Source organism: Homo sapiens, chromosome 16, assembly GCF_000001405.40.
Source record: "Homo sapiens chromosome 16, GRCh38.p14 Primary Assembly".
Classification (NCBI taxonomy): domain Eukaryota; kingdom Metazoa; phylum Chordata; class Mammalia; order Primates; family Hominidae; genus Homo; species Homo sapiens.
The window spans coordinates 77,422,832-77,439,687 of NC_000016.10; the positions used below are offsets into that span (position 1 = coordinate 77,422,832).

Sequence of the window (16,856 nt, forward strand, 5' to 3'; positions counted from 1 at the left end):
CTCCTTAGAATACCTACCAGGTAATGCTAGTCTGTGCATTGACAGTCACACTTACATGGTGTGATGCATTCCACAAAGCAAAAACAACTCTCCCAGAGAGGTTCAGGCAGTCTCGTTTCCACTGAAGGTCCTGTTCAGACACCTTGAGGACAATGACTCTGAGTCCCCCATAGGTGAAGCTTTTCTTTCCTTTATTAAACTTGAATCCCTAGGCTCTACCCAGGACCTACTGAATGTTCAGAGGTGGGACCCACACATATTTTTCTTTTCAAGTGCTCAGGTCCTTTTGAAGTGCCTTACTAAAAAATATCCTACACCTCAGACGTTAACTACTTATAACGCCAGCTTGCAGTTAAATGTTCTAAAGGCCTCCCTGTGTGTTTTAGCTGAATCTCTTCTCAATGGCTCCAGTGTTAATAGCCAGAGTAGTTAATAAATATTAACTGTTATGTTTTTATCTAGGCTGAAACTCTTTTCTGCCTGTGGATTGTAAGAACTGTCAGCAGTCAATTTTGAAAAGTCCTCTGCAGAGGAAGGTCTGCAATAATGATAATTAGTACTATATCATTATCACAACTGATATTATTACTATGTGCCAGGTAATGACATCGGTTTTGATAATGATATAGTAATAATATCATTCTAACTATGCACATAGAATATTTTTCTTTCAATTAAGCATCCATAGCCCCCATGAGAGAAGTACTATCATTATCCTCGACTTATCAATGAAGAAATAAAGCATAGCCAGGATAAAGAGTTTTCCCTGTGTTACGTAGCTAGCAAAGACAAGAGATGGAACTTCAGAGTCTCAGTCCAAAGACATTACACTATGCTGCTTCATCATACATGAATTGATGCAAATCATTATCTATCTGTTGATACTCCTCTTTGATTCTTTTTCTCTCATTTTATGTCTTCAGTTTATAAAGTAATGGTTACTTTCCACTCCCACAAGATCTCCAAACATTCCCGCAAGCAGAATTGCCAGTATCAAAGTGTTCATTTCCTGTTCTGACAGGGTTGAACTTTAAAAGGCCTTAAGGCAAGACAGGGATGGTAGCTGGTAAAGAGAGAGAGAGAATATGTGTGTGTTGTGGGTGACTTCAATGGCCATTTCCTTCCCAGACCTTCTCCTAGTTCAAAGTCAAGACTAATCAAGCATGGAGCTTCCACCAAACACCAAGCTAAGCAATCATAAATCTTCACAATCTTATGAGAGAAAAAGAGGTACTGTTCCCACTTTACAGATGAGAAAACCAAGGCCCAGAGACATGAAGGAAGCCCAGTACTTACAACACAGGACTTGGGGAGCCTGATGCCTTAGTGGTCATACCCGAAAAGGCAGGCAGGCAGGCCGGGCGCGGTGGCTCACGCCTGTAATCCCAGCACTTTGGGAGGCCAAGGCAGTCAGATCACCTAAGGTTGGGAGTTCAAGACCAGCCTGACCAACATGGAGAAACCCCATTTCAACTAAAAATACAAAATTAGCCGGACATGGCAGTGCATGCCTGTAATCCTAGCTACTCAGGAAGCTGAGGCAGGAGAATTGCTCGAACCCGTGAGGCAGAGGTTGCAGTGAGCCAAGATCATGCCATTGCACTCCAGCCTGGGCAACAAGAGTGAAACTCCATCTCAAAAAAAAAAAAAAAAGCAAGCAACATAGGCAGGAAGGACTGGCCTTTCAGCCTCCCATGTGAGACCCCTCAAACTGGCCTTAGTCACCTTGGGGTCCTGCTCTCTGGCAAGAACCTTGGCTCTTCTTTTTAAAAAGAAGTTTGATCTGGCATTTTGCTTCAAGTTTGTTATGAGCAAATAATTCTCTTCACAAATCATGTCTGAAGAGGAGAGAAGCCAGAACAAAATAACAAAAAAAAACCTTTTTAACCTTTCTTGATGAAATGAGTAATAGCCTAAGAAAACATCACTGATTTCAGTTTGTCTGTCTCACAAAACACATAAATACAACCCAGTCTAATCCTTAACTTCACATGATCCTCTCAAGTGACCGAAAAGCTCCAAGGGGGTGTATGTAATTCAACAAACCCCTACTAGCTAACAAGGCCCTCCAAAGCAGCTGAGCCTAGTTTCTTTCTGCCCGCCATGGACGAAGGTCATTCAACTTCAGCCCTTTTATGAATGGAAATCAGCTTTGTAAAGACTGTTTGGCAGGCAGTGACCAGCAACAGACAACTCAATGACTGAGCTTTCTGAGTCATAAAATACTTTTGAAAGGGGGAGATCAAAGCGTCCCTACCGCCTATTGAAATCCAATTGTTTCCAAAGTTCTGCAAGAACCCAGGCTCTCTGGAGAATGGGTCACTGCAGTCATAGTCTAAAAAAGGCCACCAGTAAAACAAAGATACAATGGGGACATTAGTGCAGCCAGCCATGGGGGAGAAACGCCACTTACGGTTTAATTGTTGGGGACAAAGAAAAGAGAAACGAGGGGAAACCGAGTGACAAAATTGGATGATGCATCAGGAATTGAGGCTGGAGGGAGTTCTCATGGCAGCCTTGATCACGGTACATACTCCACTCAGAGCATCAGATGCAGTGCTAAGGCTGGATGGTAATCAGACACCGGGCAGAAGATCCAAGAGAAACAGCAAAGCAGTCCACTACTCTTGCCAGCTGGGCCTTCACTGAAGTTATTCATCAGTGGTAAACTCACCCATGTATTACAAAGCTGGGCAGAAATGCAATATGACTGACACTTTTTGCATGTCTTTTCAATCAATCTTCACATGAAGAATGGAGCTTGGTTTAGAATTTCTTAAGCAAGGGGTGCATTTCCCCAACGGGAACACATGTCCAGGTACAAGTAAAGTACAAATAATCTCAGACTTAGGAATTGCTCTTTTAGCGTGAACCGCAGAACCCTGGTACAAGATGTTGATGGAAGTGTGGTTCAAAAAGAGGAGGAGTGGGCCGGGCACGGTGGCTCACACCTGTAATTCTGGCACTTTGGGAGGCTGAGGTAGGCAGATCACCTGAGGTGAGGAGTTCAACACCAGCCTGGCCAAAATGATGAAACCCCATCTCTACTAAAAATAACAAAAAAATTAGCCAGGCGTGGTGGTGGATGCCTGTAATCCCAGCTGCTTGGGAGGCTGAGGCAGGAGAATTGCTTGAATCTGGGAGACAGAGGTTGCAGTGGGCCGAGATCGCTGCACTCCAGCCTGGGCAACACAGCGAGACTCCACATCAAACAAACAAACAAACAGAAACGGGGAGTTGGTGGGGAGGAGTGGTCAAATTAGTATGGAAATCCTACCTCTTGGCACTTCACAATGCATATTAGTGTATTAAAAGGTATGAAATATGTTAAAGATGTTTGTTTAGCTTCCTTTAAACCTCTAAATTTTCCCTAACTTGTATGACCATAAACCACTTATTCCTGGAGCATCTCTTAACAGTTAAAAATTAATACATAATATTATAGTATCTATTTTGGGTACCATTGTGTTGATGTTTTTCATGTCACCACCAAACTGTGAAGAGATGCTCCTTGGAAAAAAAAAATTTCATTGGCCAAAGAAGTTAGGGAAACTATAGGTATAAACAGAGTTAAACAGGTGTCTTTAATATAAGACATTTCTGACTTGTCAATATGCTAATATGCATTGTACAGCTCAGAGAGGTTGCATTTTGGCAATAACTTCACCAGCTCCCCACTTTTCTAAAACCATACTGTGTAAACTCCTTGTTTCAGGGTTGAATCACAGCTTGGTTCACAATAAAAATAGCAGTTGCCAGGTCTAAAAGTATTGCTCCATTCTCTTCCCTAGATTGTAAGCTCTACGACCTGGATCTAACATGCATCTTGTTGGTAAGCTTCATCTACCATGCTCTCAACAGTGCCTGACACACTAGAGGCTAATAGTTGTCCAATGAAAAAAGGATAGGGTGGGGTGTGGTGGCTCAAGCCTGGTAATCCCAGCACTTTGGGAGGCTGAGGCAGGAAGATTGCTTGAGCCCAGAAATTTGAGGCCAGCCTGGGCAACATGGCAAAACCTCGCCTCTACAAAAATTGGCCTGGTGTGGTGGTACGTGCCTGTAGTCCCAGCTACTTGGGGGGCTGAGTTGGGAGTATTGCTTAAGCCTGGGAAGTTGAGGCTCCAGTGAGCCATGATTATACCACTGTACTCAAGCCCAGATGACAGAGTAAGACCCTGTCTCTAAAAATATAAGAACAATAAAAAATGATGAGTCAATGTGTCTAACAAGTTCCAAAAATACAAGCATTTTCACTAAGTGGTTCTCAGATATTCGTATGCATCAGAATCATCTGGAGAATTAAAAATACACCTTCCTGTGTCCAGCCTCCCTGAGCTTCTGTTGTAGACAAAGGAATTCACATTTTCAGCCCTTCAAGTGAAGCTAATCATAGTTGTTCACACTCTGATAATCACTGTCCTGACAAAAAGGATCACTAAGACAGATGATTTTTGAGCAGTAAAATTTTTAGATCTCTTAGTACATAGGAAGAAACATGCAAGTTTGTTCTGTTGGAAGACAAAATTAAGAAATACAGGTAAAAATTTTAAGACTGTGGTTCAACAGCAAGATGAAGAGTCTCCACCAATGTCATGGCTTGCTGGATGTAATGACTTTCTCATCACTGTGCTAGTCAGAGGGAGGCTGGATATAGTAGAAAGGACAGACATGGCAGATCACCATTAGATTAGGTTAATCTGTACCTCTGAGATTCTGGGACAAAGGCTGCAAATCCTAGCACCTTCACAGATTATAAGGCCACCTGGTATAAAAAACAGGGGTGAGCTTTTCTAGGTTACCCTATAAAAGCATTCAAAATTTTAAAACAATCATCTCTAAACATAACAGTAGGCAGTTTTTACTCAGGGAAGTGTGCAACCCCTGTTTCATGAATGAATTATTCCAAGTAAGTAACAACTACCTCAATTCTGGAATAAAGGGAGACCTGTGAGTTGGCAGGGGAGGTGGGTGCATTTTAAGAAATTATTACAAATATTTCAAACAGGTTAATTCTGAATTATTAAGGCTAACAGTCTGCTAGCAAAATTTTAGCTGGAGTATGTATGCACGCATGTCTGCTTATATGTATGTACGTACATACGTATTCACTATTATAACCATTCTACCATTTTCCACTTTCTTTGGGGACTTCTCTAGCAGACAAGATAATGGTAGATTCCTATTAGTACTTTGTCAAATCATTTAAAGGTGACATCGCTTTCCTAATATACACTGCATGCACACTAGAAAATTGCTACCACATCCAAAAGGACCCTAAGGCCAGTGGTCTGGCCCCACTCAGAGAAACACTGATATATAAACTTCAGGTGAAAAAGTTTCATCTCCCAGTCTCATTCATCTCTTCTCGGTCTCTGTATTAATAGGAGAAGGGTGGCTGTCTCTCCTGGCATGTTAACTCGATGAGTCTCTCCAACAAGCCTGTTAAAGGCTTGTTCCTTTTCTGAACTCTTGAATCATCTATGATTCTGAATCTATTACTATAGATGCTAATTAATTTCAGAGGAGTTATGAACCCCTGATTAACCAAAGAAGCTGAGCAATGTCTAAGAAAATGTAAACAAAAAAGTGCTTTCAATTTCATTAACCATCAGAACAATGCAAACTACACCCATAATGTGGTACTACTTCACAACTATCAATCAGAACAGCTAAAATGGAAAAATAGGCAATATCAAGTCTTCAGGAGGATTTGGAGCAACTGGAACTCTCATACACTGGTGATGAGAGTTTAAATTAGTACAACCACTTTGAAAAGCTGCTTGTCAGTACTCATTAAAGCTGAACATATACAAGTTGAGTACCCCTAATCCAAAAATTTGAAATCTGAAATGCTCCAAAATCTGAAACTTTTGAGTACTGATATGACACTCAAAGAAAATCCTTATTGGAGCATTTCAGATTTTTTGCATTAGAGATGCTCAACCAGAATATATTCTGCAAATATTCCAAAATCCTCCCCAAATTGAAAATCCACAACACTTCTGGTCCCAAACATTTCAGATAAGGAATAACTCAATTTATACATACTCTGTGACTCAACAACTTTATTCTTAGGCATGTATCCAACAGAATGTGTCCATACGTTCATCAAAATGCATATACAAGAATGTTCAGTCATAACAGCCCCAAACTGCTGGTGGGGGTGTAAATTAGTTCAACCATTGTGGAAAGCAGTATGGCAATTTTTCAAAGAGCTAAAAGCAGAAATACCATTCAACCTAGCAGTCCCAGTACTAGGTATGAGAAGAACATAAACCATTCTACCATAAAGACACATGCATGTGAATGTTTATTGCTGCACTATTCACCATAGCAAGGACATGGAATCAACCTAAATGCCCATCAATGACAGAGTGGATGAAGAAAATGTGGTACATATACACCATGGAATACTATGCAACCATAAAAATAAACGAGATCAGGTCTTTTGCAGGAACGTGGATGGAGAGCAAGGCTATTATCATTAGCAAACTAACGCAGGAGGAGAAATTCAAATCCCACGTTCTCACTTATAAGTGGGAGCTAAATGATGAGAACTCATGAACACAAAGAAGGGAACAATAGACACTGAGGTCTACTTGGGGGTGGAGGGTCGGAGAAGATAGAGGAACAGAAAAGATAACCATTGGGTACTGGGCTTAATATCTGGGTGATGAAATAATCTGTACAACAAACCCTTGTGACATGAGTTCACCCACGTGACAAACCTTCACTTGTACCCCTGAACCTAAAAGTTTTAAAAAAAAATGGATAAAAACATCATGAAATCTTCATACAGAAAAATTTTATGATTCTACTCATGTGAAATTTTGATAATATTAATCTATTACTATGAGATTATTAATTTGAGACAATTGATAAGATTTCCCATCACTCACAGAGTGAAGTCCTGAGAGTGCTAAACATGAGGAGGCTAAATTTTGCTGAAAATAGAACAGCTATAGAGAAATTATTCCCTGCCAGGAACTGCTATGGCACTTTCCACATAAGAAATAATTGAATCCCCACTGCCCTGTGATGTAAACTCTTGTTATTCCCATCTTAGAAATAAAGAAACTAAGGCATAGTTAACTCTACTTAACACAGAGTTAAACAATTTGTCTAAGGTCCTATGAGTAAATGCTGGTCTGAGAATTAGAACCTGGGCAGACTGCTTTCAACTACTGGTATGTGGAATGGGATAGTTTAAGCCACTACGGTGGGTTGTGTAAACTCCTCCTTTAGGACACCGGAATAGACAGAAGAAAGAGAAATACAAAGGGGATGCTAAGTAAAGAGAAGGAGATGTGCCACAACAAAACAAACAAACAAACAAACAAACAAAAAAACAAGATATAGTCATGTGTGCACACACAGGGGCATGTAACCATGTTATAATATATAGGTCAATGGTGAGCCATGTTCATCATTTTAAATAGACCAAAGAAAGAATACCGTGATTGTGGTTGTAATGAAAGGTTTTAGCTAAATTTCAGGCCATAATAGGGGGAAAAAATTAAAAAGTAACTGAAAGTTTCAACTAACAAAGAACATGGGAGTCCGCATTCACCCGTACCCAAGCCACCCCTCTTGCTTTGTGCCATGATGTACCATGTACATTACTCACTACATCCTCACTTGGGCTTTCTCACATTTTCCTTCTTCTGGCCATGCCAGAGCACAATCACCATGTGTCTCAACACACACAAACTCTTCTGTCAATTCAAGACACTTCTCAATCACAACACAGAATGAAATCAACCCAGAACAACATTTACCGCCTCGTATATTTGATTGAATCCTGAGAAGAGTATCATTTACACTGATATTCTTGGCCTGGTGCTCAGCAGATGAGGATTACATAGGGAGGAAATAACACTGGTCCCAAATGCTTTTAAAAGGTTCTGCTTCCCTGAATGCCACATTTAATCCTGCCAGCCCAGGAACACAGCACCCCACATTCTAAAAGGATGTCTTATGTGAGCAGGACACCAGCAACAGATTAGTTCAAAGAAGACAAAAGGCCTCCCTTCAGCAAAGTGAAGGTTGATCTTACCAGTGCTGCTGAATGCAATTTCGCATTGAAATACAGTTTTCCCATTTCAAAGCCATGTAGACGCATGAAGCTTGTTAGATTTATAGAATGCCTGGTCTCCCGGGACATTACAAAGCGAATGGCATCCATCAAGTTAATTTCCTTGGGGATCATCTCAAACATGGAGAATGAAAAGTCCCAGACCATTAAACATCAAAAGATTGTTCTAAATGGTAATTAAAGTTCTATTATATTTTCTTTTTCTGGGAGCACATTAGATTAATTCAATTGAGAATATTAGAAGTATCAAGGCTGACAGTGTGAATGTGTGGAGTTGGCTGGAAGAGCATTTATATTGCAGACATCTGTTCATTCAAGTTACACAAAACACGAAAGAGGGAGCTCAACTCAGACTGGGGTGTACTTACCAAGCCAGCACACGTAGACACAGCGACAGAGGAGGAGCTGTCATTTCTGATAAATCCCTGATAGAAGCATTGCTGCACCTCGGGTTTCTGAGTCTCTGAAGCACCATCTTTTCCAAGTACCTGGACAATAAAGTGACTGCTCAAAATCGCCGAGGGCTTAAGTTCTAAGTGCAGTTCCTGTCCAAATGCTGAAAATCGGTAGTGCAGGGAGCTTCTGGCATTCTGCGCCGATCGCTTTTTCCTGCCGTTGTGCAAAATGTCGTGTGAAATATATGACCCGGCTGAGTCTACTTCTACTGGCGTGACAAAGACGTAATCTGCAATGGGAAAAGTTCAGCTGTCAGCACCCAGAGCCCACAATTCCAAATGGTCTCTTTCCAGCAAGCTGGCAAAGAGCAACACAAAGCTCAAAGATATCTTTGTTCCTATTGCCTTGCACCTAGATCAAATATAATTCAGAGCAGCACAGGCAGCAGAAGACCTGTCTCTACAACTAACTCGGCCACAGTCATTTCTACAGGTGCCCGAAAGCCAAGCACAATTTTGATGAATTTCATGGATGTCTGTGGAAAAATGTAACACCTCTCATTGTCTGGAGAGAGATTTAGAACATTCTTTTGATGTTTAATGGTCTGGGCCTTTTATAATATTGGCCACAGAACCATTCATATATATAAAATTTAATTTTTTTGAAGATAAAGTTAATAAACATAAAACTACAAAATCGGGAAATTTCTTCAAGGAGGTTAATTTCTCTGTGCTTAAACTGAATCGGGAACATTTTGGCAGAGGCAGAGTTTACATTTCAAGTCCTAACTCACAGTGTGGGGTAGCCTCAGATGATATTTCAGATCATTAACAAGCAACAGCATTTTCATTTTTCCAATATTATTTATGTGTGATAAGAAAACTCCAGCACTTGTATCACCCTTAGCATTTTACTGTGAGCTTTCACAGGGATGATCCCATTTAATTGTAAGCATAAAATACAGTGCATGCACAAAAATGCCTCAAAATTGTCAGAACCCTCCTATATAGTCTGATGTATAAAATTGCTCAGGCATGTTGGTGGGGGAGTGTCAGATCAGGGGACACCTGGAAAGGCATGTTTAAAAATACCTTCACCACTGCTCCCTAGAGCAGTACTAATTGCTGAATGTTCCAAAGAGGAGGAGCTAAAATACAATTTGCTATTTGAAAAGCAAAGCCAGCACACTGTTTTCTTTCACCAAACATTGAAGCTGAAAAGCATCATCCCACAAAATGATTTGGAATATGCCCTCTGTGCATTAAAAAACAGCCTGCATTTCCACTTTCAAGGCACAGAATGGGAAACTACTTTGGAAAGTGTTTAGAAAGCTGTTGAATAATGACGAGGTATGTTTGAGTCACTTGGGTCCCCAGTTACTGGAGGAGGAAAAGGAAGAGAAATTTCTCTTTTCCCTAAACAGTCAACAACCTTCCCCCTCCTCCAATAAAAAAAAAAAAACTAAGGAATAGTGGAGCCCCTGTAGCTAGCAAAGATCAATGAGTGATGGCCTAATTAGGCTCACATTAAAAAAGAATTCTCCACAATAGACAATAATTTTCTTCTGTTTATGAACCATCTGTGACTTATTCCTTGGGCAGCTTTCATTTTTATATTCTTTATGTCCTCCCACTCCCATTTTTCTTCTTGACTCCCTCCTTTAACTAAAAATGCTGTATAATTGACATACATATTTTACAATAATGGGGGGAAAAGTTTTTCCCCTCTCTTAACCTTGAAAATCTGAGCCAGACATACAATATTTTTCTTCTCTTAAAAATCTGATACATTGCTTTAAAGGGATGTGGCTCTTGATTATGTGCAATTTCTTAGAGAAAGTCTACCTTCTCCTTCTGTCAAACTAAAACTTAACTATGAAAAAGATTCCTGACATATGCAGGAAGTCTGTGTCTCACCTTCTTGTCCCAAATCATCTGAAACTCTGCCTGCTCTTACTTGGAAGGCTCTGTAGGAACGTTATCCAGCCAGCCTTCTATGGAACCAGCCATCAAACGGCCCCAGACACCTGCTACCAGCTTGTTTCCAAGGGGAGAATAACAGGCTGTCGGTTACATTCGGTTCTTGATGGAAGAAGGGCAGTCAGTGTCCCCTGTAAAGAGTGATCTCTGATTGACCACTTCAGGAGGTGAGTAAGGGTGAGGTCCTTACAAGGTTGTGGCTGGGTCGGACGTGGCCTCCAGCCATCTGATCCTGATATAAGAATGAGGGGTGGTTTTAGAAACTGCAGCCTCTCTGTTTGGACAAAAGGTGAATCCCTTCTCCATGACTCCATCCTGCCCCACTCCCCATTCCCCTGACAAGAAAAGGAGATAACCTTGCAAAACTAAAAATTACAGAATTCTAAAGAATCCAGGTTGAGCTGTAAGGTTTTCCTAGACACCTTGCGTCAGGAATCAGCTGTTCTCCTGTAGCTGATGGGAAACAATCAAAACAAGGATTTCCCTCTGGGCTCCACTGGGAAGTTAATAAATGTCAGAAGTGAGGGATTTTCTGGAAGTTTGTGGCTGGCGAACGTCAGAAAAGATAGATAAAGGACTCAGAGACCTGAAGTCACCTGCTTTCCTCTCTCTAAAAGCAGCCTTAGACATCCGTAAAACAAGGGAAGCAGAAATGAAAAAAAAAGAAGAGATAGAAAAGGAACAGAAGTCGAGAGAAAAATGAGGAAAGATGGAGAGAGGAAAGAGGCTCACATTCTTTCATCTCCCACTAAGAATTAGCTTCCCCCAACAAGAGTTAGGAGAGGGAGGAAATAAGTAATTCCTTAGTTAATGTCCACTTCCCTTCGAATTTCTCACTGCAGTTAGGATTTTTTTTTTTTTCTTGTTCTTCTTAACAAGCCACCTGTGAAGGAGGGAGAGTATTTGCTTTTATGTGACTTGCAGCTCGGGGCGTTGATTCTTTTGATAAGTTCAGTCCTTGCCAACCTTCCCCCCTCTCCAAACAGGAACCATTTCCAAGACAGCGCACACCTGCCAGGTTAGGGGGTGCGCTTTTCCATCTTTTCTCTCTTTGGGGGAAGGAAGGGTCAAAGTGCTGCGAAAGGCCCTTCTTGGGGATGGGGGGCAAATACGAACCATCATTTAATCCGCTGGCGCCGCTGCTGCTGTCACTGGCTAAGGCCGCGGCGACCGACGCACAGCAGAGGCAGCACAGCTGGAGCGCCTGCAAGAGAAAAGGTGACATCGCGCGTGAGGGGCGCGGCGGGGCTGGCGTCGGGCGCCCCCTGCCACCCGCTCTCGGAGCTCCGCTCGGCGGCACCTGCCTTGGCCACGCGCCCCAGTCCCGCCAGGCCCCTCGGCGGGCCCGAACCCGCAGCCGGGAAGGCACACGCGAGCAGGAGGGCGCACTCCATGGTCAGGTGCGGACGCGGCGGCTGCGGGTGGCCAGACGCGGCAGGCGGAGCGCACGGGCGGCGCGCATTCTTTCCGCGGCCCCGGAGCTCGGCGCCCCAGGTGCGGCTCCAGGTGAGAGCCGCCGCCGTTCACATCGCAGCGGGGGCGCGCTGGGACCTCCCCTCCTCCGGCCGCCTGCGCGCCCTCCCTTCTCCCGGCGCGGGCCTGCCGAGCTGCAGTTTGCGGCACCCCAGAGGGTACGGGGGGCTCCCTGGGCCGGGACTGGAGCGCAAACGGTTGGGAGACTGTCGGTGTCTGCCCGCCCGTCTGTGCGTCTGTCTGTGTCGGTGTGAGCGTCTGAGGCGATGGGGAAGACAGCGCCAGCTGGCTCCCCCAGCGCGCCGGAGCCGAGCGCCCGCCTCTCCACCGCGCGGTGATTGGCGACCAGCGGCTCCCGGGCTCGTCCGAGCCCCCGGGCTGGTGCAAGGGCGTGGGATTCCCGGCTCCAGCTCTGAGGGAGGGGGCGAAGGGGGCGGGGAGGCTGGGTGGGAGTGATAGGGAGGGAGGGACCGACCGCCATGAGAAGGAGGGGAGCGCCCAGGGTCAGGCTTGGAAAACGTAATTTAAGCGCACTGGGAGATGAGTTCGGAAGACGAAAGGCTCAGGTGAGTGGCGCGACTTTTTCGCTGCCTGTGCAGACTTCTCATTTTCAACTCTTCTGGCAAAGAGTCAAGATAGCGTCCTCAACACCTCCTAAGTGCTGGGAGCTATCCCCTGCTGTATCGCATTTGCCTCAGGCCCTACCTTTTTCAGGTGGGAATTATTAATTCCTTGATAAAGATGAGGAAAAGGAGGCTCAGATGCGCACAAGCTGACCTAGCTTCCCAGAGTCAGCAAATCTGAGGCAGCCGGGAGGACCAGAACAATGAGCTGTCACTGTCTGCAGCATGTAAAAACTCATGGCACGCGGGGGCCTCCCTCTTCTCCCGGATCTCTCTCTCTCTTCTTGACGTGACCGTGCTTCCCACTCTTCGAGATTGAATCTTGGCCCCAGATACCCAAACCCACAGAAATCAGTTATAACAAACAGCGCACGCCATCACTAGGAATGTGCATCCAGTTTGCTGTGTGCCTGTTCGTTTACTCAAGACATTTATTTGATCCTTTGATCCCTGTTTGCAGAGGTGAACAAAATACAGTCTCACGGGCCAGTGGAAACGAATCTGATTGGATAGCTCGACAACGGTAATAGAAGCAAAATGAACACAAATACTAAAAAGGAAAAGAATAGTCTCCTAAATTAGATGGCAGCAGAATCTAATTTAGATGGGATAAGATGTGTGTGTGTGTGTGTGTGTGTGTGTGTGTGTGTGGGTGTATATATACACACACACATATATATACACACACACACGCATACATACACGTGCAAGGCATCTGTTAGGAGCTGACACTTAAAATAAGGCCAGAGAGAGTGGATCGGTTTTATAAGGGAAGAGGGGAGTAGGATCTTGCATGTTAGGACAGGGGGCACAGCATAAGTGAAGGTCTCAAGGTAGTTAAGTGATTGCCACGTGAAAAGTGTTACAGGCCAGAGGAAGAAGCAAACACAGCAGTTGCTGGGTCAGCTGGACCTTGTAAGCTGGGGCGAAGCATGTTGGAAACCATTAGATTTAAATGAATGTGGGTTTGTGTATGTGTAGGAGGCAACATCATATCCAATAATAAAAAAATGTGAACCATTTTTTGAGCGAGTGTAGGGATTGGACGAGCTGAGGCAGGGTCAGAGAGAAACAAACCACGCAGCTGTTGCTGGCATGAAGGGGTACAATGACAGTGTCTTGCTTGGACCAGGGTAGTGGTAGTGGAAGTAGATGTATTACTCTGCTCAGTCCTGTGGGTACTGAAGTAGTTAACATGAGGTCTATGTCAAGCCTCGATTAAGTGATAGCTCAATACACATAGTCGGTTTTATGGAATGCAGCTGGGAAGAGGTAAACCCAGGCTGTAGCGGCAGAGAAGGTGATGTGTCTGCCTAAGGAACATGAAGCTAAGCCTCACAGAACATCAGGGCTAAACAAATCATTTGGGTTTCCCTACTTAATCTGGTTAAGCTCTGTGGCCTCTGTTTTATAATCTGTAAAATAGGAATCAACATGCTACATCAAAAGGATAGCCTGAGGGGTAAGTGAATATATTTTTCAAAGCACATTATAAGTGGACTTTAAGAAGTGATGGTGTATTTCTGTTATTTCATACATCCTGTGTCAAACTTGAATATACGTCAAAATCACCTGTAATGCTAGCTTAAAAATGCAGATTTCCAGGCCATGAAGCACTGTGATTCTGATTCCATGGATTTGGTGTAGGGCCCAAGCATGCATTTGTAGTAAGCACTTGTGGGTGATTCAGACACAAGTGACTTAAGTGCTTCATATGATTCCATGAAGAACTGGACACAAGAGGAAACTGGACATCAAAGACATGCAGTAAAACACTGCTGGAGGTCACATCACCAAGCAACGGACTGAATAAAACAGGAGACTGGGATTGACAGCACTGTCAGCGACATCATCAGGTGAACACTGACGGAACCTGGAGGGTGAAGGGCTTGTCCACACTCAGCTAAAAATAACCATGGCCCTGATTTGTGTCTCTCCATTAAGATACATTTGCATGAAATTGTCCATATTTTTCTGATCCTCCTCTTTTAGGGCTAACAATATAGGTTACTTGCCATGGTCAGGGCTGAAGTCTCGGAGAACAACCCTTAACTATGCTCTATGCTCAATTGTGGAATTTCTCAATCTCAGCAGTACTGAGATTTGGGCTGGATAATCATTTGTGGTAGGGGCTATCATCCTGTACATTATAAACATAGGATGTTTAGCAGCATTTCTGGCCTCTACTTCACTAAATGCCAGTAGCAGCCCCCAAAATGCAACAAAATGTTGTGAGATTTCCAAATGTTTCCTGGTGGGTAAAATTCCCCTAGGTGAGAACCTGGATAAATAGTACAGATTCCCAGTCCTATTCTGTGACATTTTTTTGTTGAGTGCCCATTTTTTTTTGAGAGTCTAGAGGGCTCCTCTTGAACCTAATGTAAGTAGTTTATCCTTAACTGATTTTACAGCTCTTCTTCCATACCCCAGTCAATCTTTGCTCTCCACAGATTCAAGTCCTCCATGATTGGGCACAGAAACTGAGACTCATTTCTTGCATAGTTCTAGACCTGGAAGATAAAAACTTGCAGTTCCATTCATTTGTAGATGTCTAGTCTCTTTTTTAGGGCTGATAAATACTTGCAAAGCCATAACTTCTGGGATGATTTTATACGTAGTTTTCCAGGAACTGGCCCTGCAATATGTATAAATTGTCTCTAGATGGTGACAGAGAATCATGAGCCCATGCTCCAGTCTTGGAGTTATAAACTGCAAAGTAGCTTTTAAGTTACTTGGGAATGTCAGTCTTACCTGATTTTAAAATGATAAATCTAGGACACTACAATGGCTATCTGAAGTTTGCAATAAACTAATGGGGATATGGGGGGGCAGAGCTCATCGCTGATGTGTTGTATTCTGTCAGACGTAGCCCAGAATATGCCACGTAACAGACATTCATAAATGTTTGTAAGAGGAGCAGAGGGAGGGAGGGAGGGAGGGAGGAATGGGGGGAAATTTGAGATAGAGAGATCACAGTGTTTCACTCTTAACCACGAAAAATATTCCTCCTTTCTCTTCCTTTAAAATCAATGGTACAGTTCTAGGCATTGATTTTCTTTTTCTACTGACATAAGCTTTTTTATTTTTTTATTTTTATTTTTATTTTTATTTTTTTTGCCAAATAACATTAAGATACTTGCCTCCTCCTAGACAGATCAAAAAATAAATGGCAAACCACGTTGCTTACTCACTTTCCTTTGTCCCTGGATTCATGAAGATGCAAACATCCCTTCCATGGAAAGTAAGAAACACTTACTGCCTCTTCCGGTGCAGTTGACTTTCTGTGCTATGACTGACTAACTCCTTATTTGCTCCTCTCCTTTTCCGTCAGCGAGTAGAGGGAAACTCTTCCTCCTCTAGCTGCTCAAAGCTGCATCAAACAGTGGGCTGGGTCTTACTGAACGGGTGTCCAGTACTTTCCTGTAGAAAACATTTTGATGTCCAAAGAGATAGATGTCCATAGTCACACATCTAAACCTAGAAGAGGGTAAAATAGAACACAAGGCTTAACTTATTTCAACACAGTAGCCAAAAGGAAAAGAGAGAGATGGAAATGGATTTACCTCCTTGAAGGCCTAAGACCTAAGGGCTACTTTCTGGTCAATGTCTCAGAAATGCAGTCCAGTTAGCAACCCAGACCTCAAAAACAATGGGGAGGAGAGAGAGGAGGTGAAAGAGAACAGAGCAGCAGGTCCTAACTGTTTTCCCTCCAGAGATAACCATCCAGAAAGATAAAGAGTTTATTTTGCCACACAAAGAATGAAATTCAAACGAGTGACAGGAAACAAACTTCTGTTTACTTATTAGCAACAATACAGGAAGCAGAACCCCTTAGTTTAAATAGTTTTATAAATAGATCCATCATCACACACAATTTAGCAATTACCAACTGCTCTCCTTCACCTGCTATTTATTCTTCTGCTTAACTTTCTGAGGACGTTGGTATCCATTTCTTCCCTTTAAAACCTGTGCTTGTCTGACTTATCTATCTGATAAGGTTTTCTCTGCTCATCTCATTTTCTCTGTTTCTTTGTACTCTGGCTGCATGGGCTTGCTTTCTTTGGTCTATTTTTAGTCGTTTCCCAAGCCCTACTATTAAAAGTAGCATGCTTGCCAGAGGCTGAAGAGGTAGAATTAGAACTAGACTTCTAATTTCCACAAGTGAACTGGAGGCCAAGTTCTGACCTCTCTGCACAGTGAACAGTGGTATATATTCTTTGTAAAAGCTCTGGAAAATATCAGGCTGCCTAAGAAAGGCAAATAACTTTTGTTTACATGGAGTATTTTCTC

General features: G+C 43.0%; 1 protein-coding gene across 2 annotated transcripts in view, besides 1 other annotated feature; it reads right to left on the reverse strand.

Annotated features, from left to right (window-relative positions):
- The window catches only part of ADAMTS18 (ADAM metallopeptidase with thrombospondin type 1 motif 18), a 152,907-nt gene extending 140,704 nt beyond the window's left edge, over positions 1-12,203 (reverse strand). For both annotated transcript variants that reach the window (NM_199355.4, NM_001326358.2), the window contains exons 1-3: positions 11,775-12,203; positions 11,587-11,674; positions 8,464-8,780 (exon numbers count right to left, since the gene is read on the reverse strand). In NM_199355.4, coding sequence (NP_955387.1) covers positions 8,464-8,780; positions 11,587-11,674; positions 11,775-11,864 — 495 coding nt within the window. In that variant the 5' untranslated portion in view covers positions 11,865-12,203. The remainder of the gene's footprint in view (positions 1-8,463; positions 8,781-11,586; positions 11,675-11,774) is intronic.
- Positions 11,899-12,399: an enhancer, noted in NCBI's record as "H3K4me1 hESC enhancer chr16:77468627-77469127 (GRCh37/hg19 assembly coordinates)". NCBI's record gives its function as "activates a minimal SCP1, AML or CMV promoter by ChIP-STARR-seq in naive H9 embryonic stem cells {active_cell/tissue: H9 hESC(naive)}" and the evidence as "EXISTENCE:reporter gene assay evidence [ECO:0000049][PMID:30033119]".